At 34.0% G+C, this 2,613-nt stretch overlaps 1 annotated feature.

Moving 5' to 3' along the window:
• Nucleotides 2,031-2,231: a silencer, noted in NCBI's record as "peak5192 fragment used in MPRA reporter construct". NCBI's record gives its function as "represses an SCP1 promoter by STARR-seq MPRAs in K562 erythroleukemia cells {active_cell/tissue: K562}" and the evidence as "EXISTENCE:reporter gene assay evidence [ECO:0000049][PMID:32103011]".

The following is a 2,613-nucleotide window of genomic DNA, read 5'->3' on the forward strand; positions in this document are numbered from 1 at the left end:
TTTTTTTAATCTGCTTTCAAGCTTCCAAAATGTAGCTGTCTTTTCCTTCCCTGGTAGTTCCTTCTTTTTTGAATTGTTTTTATTTGCTTATCAGAAAGGAGTGAAATTACATATCTGTTCAATTTTCAGACTGATCCAGGTTTATGTTTAGATTATTAGTTCATTAATAAATGAAAAGAGCAACAACAGCAACAGTAATTTTAAAAATTACATTTCCTGTGTTTTTTGGCTGCATAAATGTCTTCTTTTGAGAAGTGTCTGTTCATGTCCTTCACCCACTTTTTGATGGGGTTGTTTGTTTTTTTCTTGTAAATTTGTTTGAGTTCATTGTAGATTCTGGATATTAGCCCTTTGTCAGATGAGTAGGTTGCGAAAATTTTCTCCCATTCTGTAGGTTGCCTGTTCACTCTGATGGTAGTTTCTTTTGGTGTGCAGAAGCTCTTTAGTTTAATTAGATCCCATTTGTCAATTTTGGCTTTTGTTGCCATTGCTTTTGGTGTAACCATTGTGGAAGTCAGTGTGGCGATTCCTCAGGGATCTAGAACTAGAAATACCATTTGACCCAGCCATCCCATTACTAGGTATATACCCAAATGACTATAAATCATGCTGCTATAAAGACACATGCACACGTATGTTTATTGCGGCATTATTCACAATAGCAAAGACTTGGAACCAACCCAAATGTCCAACAATGATAGACTGGATTAAGAAAATGTGGCACATATACACCATGGAATACTATGCAGCCATAAAAAATGATGAGTTCATGTCCTTTGTAGGGACATGGATGAAATTGGAAATCATCATTCTCAGTAAACTATCACAAGAACAAAAAACCAAACACCGCATATTCTCACTCATAGGTGGGAATTGAACAATGAGATCACATGGACAAAGGAAGGGGAATATCACACTCTGGGGACTGTAGTGGGGTGGGGGGAGGGGGGAGGGATAGCATTGGGAGATATACCTAATGCTAGATGACGAGTTAGTGGGTGCAGCGCACCAGCATGGCACATGTATACATATGTAACTAACCTGCACAATGTGCACATGTACCCTAAAACTTAAAGTATAATAAAAAATAAATAAATAAAAGAATAAATCCAAAAAAAAAATTACATTTCCTCCACCAAATTTAAAAAGAAAAATATAAATTGAGAGACTTCAATATTGAAATATATCAAAATTGAATATTTGAATTAACAATTCAAATTCTAAAACATTGCTTCTTAAAGGTCTTTATGAGTTAACAGCATCTCAAAGCTTCAAAAGAGGAGCCTGATTATGCAAATAGCAGAAATTATAAAGCAGTGAGAGAAGAAAAATGAATTTCACAATAAATAAGTTCATACTTATCTCTGTGTGTACGATGTTTTCATTAGTTAATAGCAATTGCTAATAAGACTTCATAAGGAGCCATCCATATCTTTCAGATAAATACCTTGCAAAACTTTCTGCTAATGTTGCTCCTTTTTTTTTTGCCAAACTCTTTTAGTAATAAAATCCAATTTCTATTTTCAGTCCTTCATTTTTTTCTTTTTGAATTCCAAAACAAATTATAATATCGTTGAATTTGTATTTATTTAACTATTGCCAACTTTTCTTTCTGTTTTCACAATATATGCACTATATCAAGACATTACATCATTTTAGTAAATATTTTATAAATTGTACACATTGTACTAAATATATTTAGTTGCTTACACATATATAAACTTCAAATATATTTATATATAAATATAATTATATAAGATATGTTATATATCATATATATATATATACATATATATATTATTTGGTATACAGCCAGAAAATGATTGAAAAATGGAAAGCTCTGAGTTAAACATGACTGTAACATCATCTCCATAAATAAGTAAAGCTATAAAGAATAACTCCATGAACACAGTACTTTGCTGGAAGCACTGAAGCACCAGACAAGAAAGACTGAGTTTCTTCTCTAAAGACACCAAAGGTACATTTTATATCCTGCAGAGTGAAAGTGACCTTGAGAAGTTTTCTTTTTAAATCAACTAAAAGGACAGGCTTTTGACTCTTACCTATTGTCTGTCTACTCAGCATATTAGCATACATCCCAGGCTGGCCTAAGGAGGTCAGAGGTTATCAGCCCTGGTCACACAGTATCATCTGAGCTTAGGCTGCTGAGTAAAGCCCAGACTTTGGAATTTCAATAGGTCCCATAATGATTTCAACATACATATAGATCAGAAAACAACTACAGGCTAGTGAGTTAAACTAATAGATTTACAGTTCCAGTCCCTTGTTATGCTCAGGAGACAGTAAGTATGTGATATCTGGAGGTCCCAGAAGGTTTCAGATACCAGTAATTTCAATCTCAATATGCGGTGTTCATGGGAAATGGAATTGCTCACACTTCCCTAAATATCCTGGTTTTCTTGTTTGTTTTTTTTCCCCCCAACACCTTCATGCACTCACATAAAATTTCTACCAGAAGAGTCCTGTTATCTGTATTTTTTTTAATCCTTGAAGGCAATGTAAATGCCACCTTCTCCCTGGAGGCATGGAGGCGTCTCTTATTTTTCCACTACTCTTTAGATATTTCTACTGGGCTTATATTTCGTTCTGCCT

The sequence above is a fragment of the Homo sapiens genome, chromosome 5, assembly GCF_000001405.40.
Source record: "Homo sapiens chromosome 5, GRCh38.p14 Primary Assembly".
NCBI lineage: Eukaryota > Metazoa > Chordata > Mammalia > Primates > Hominidae > Homo > Homo sapiens.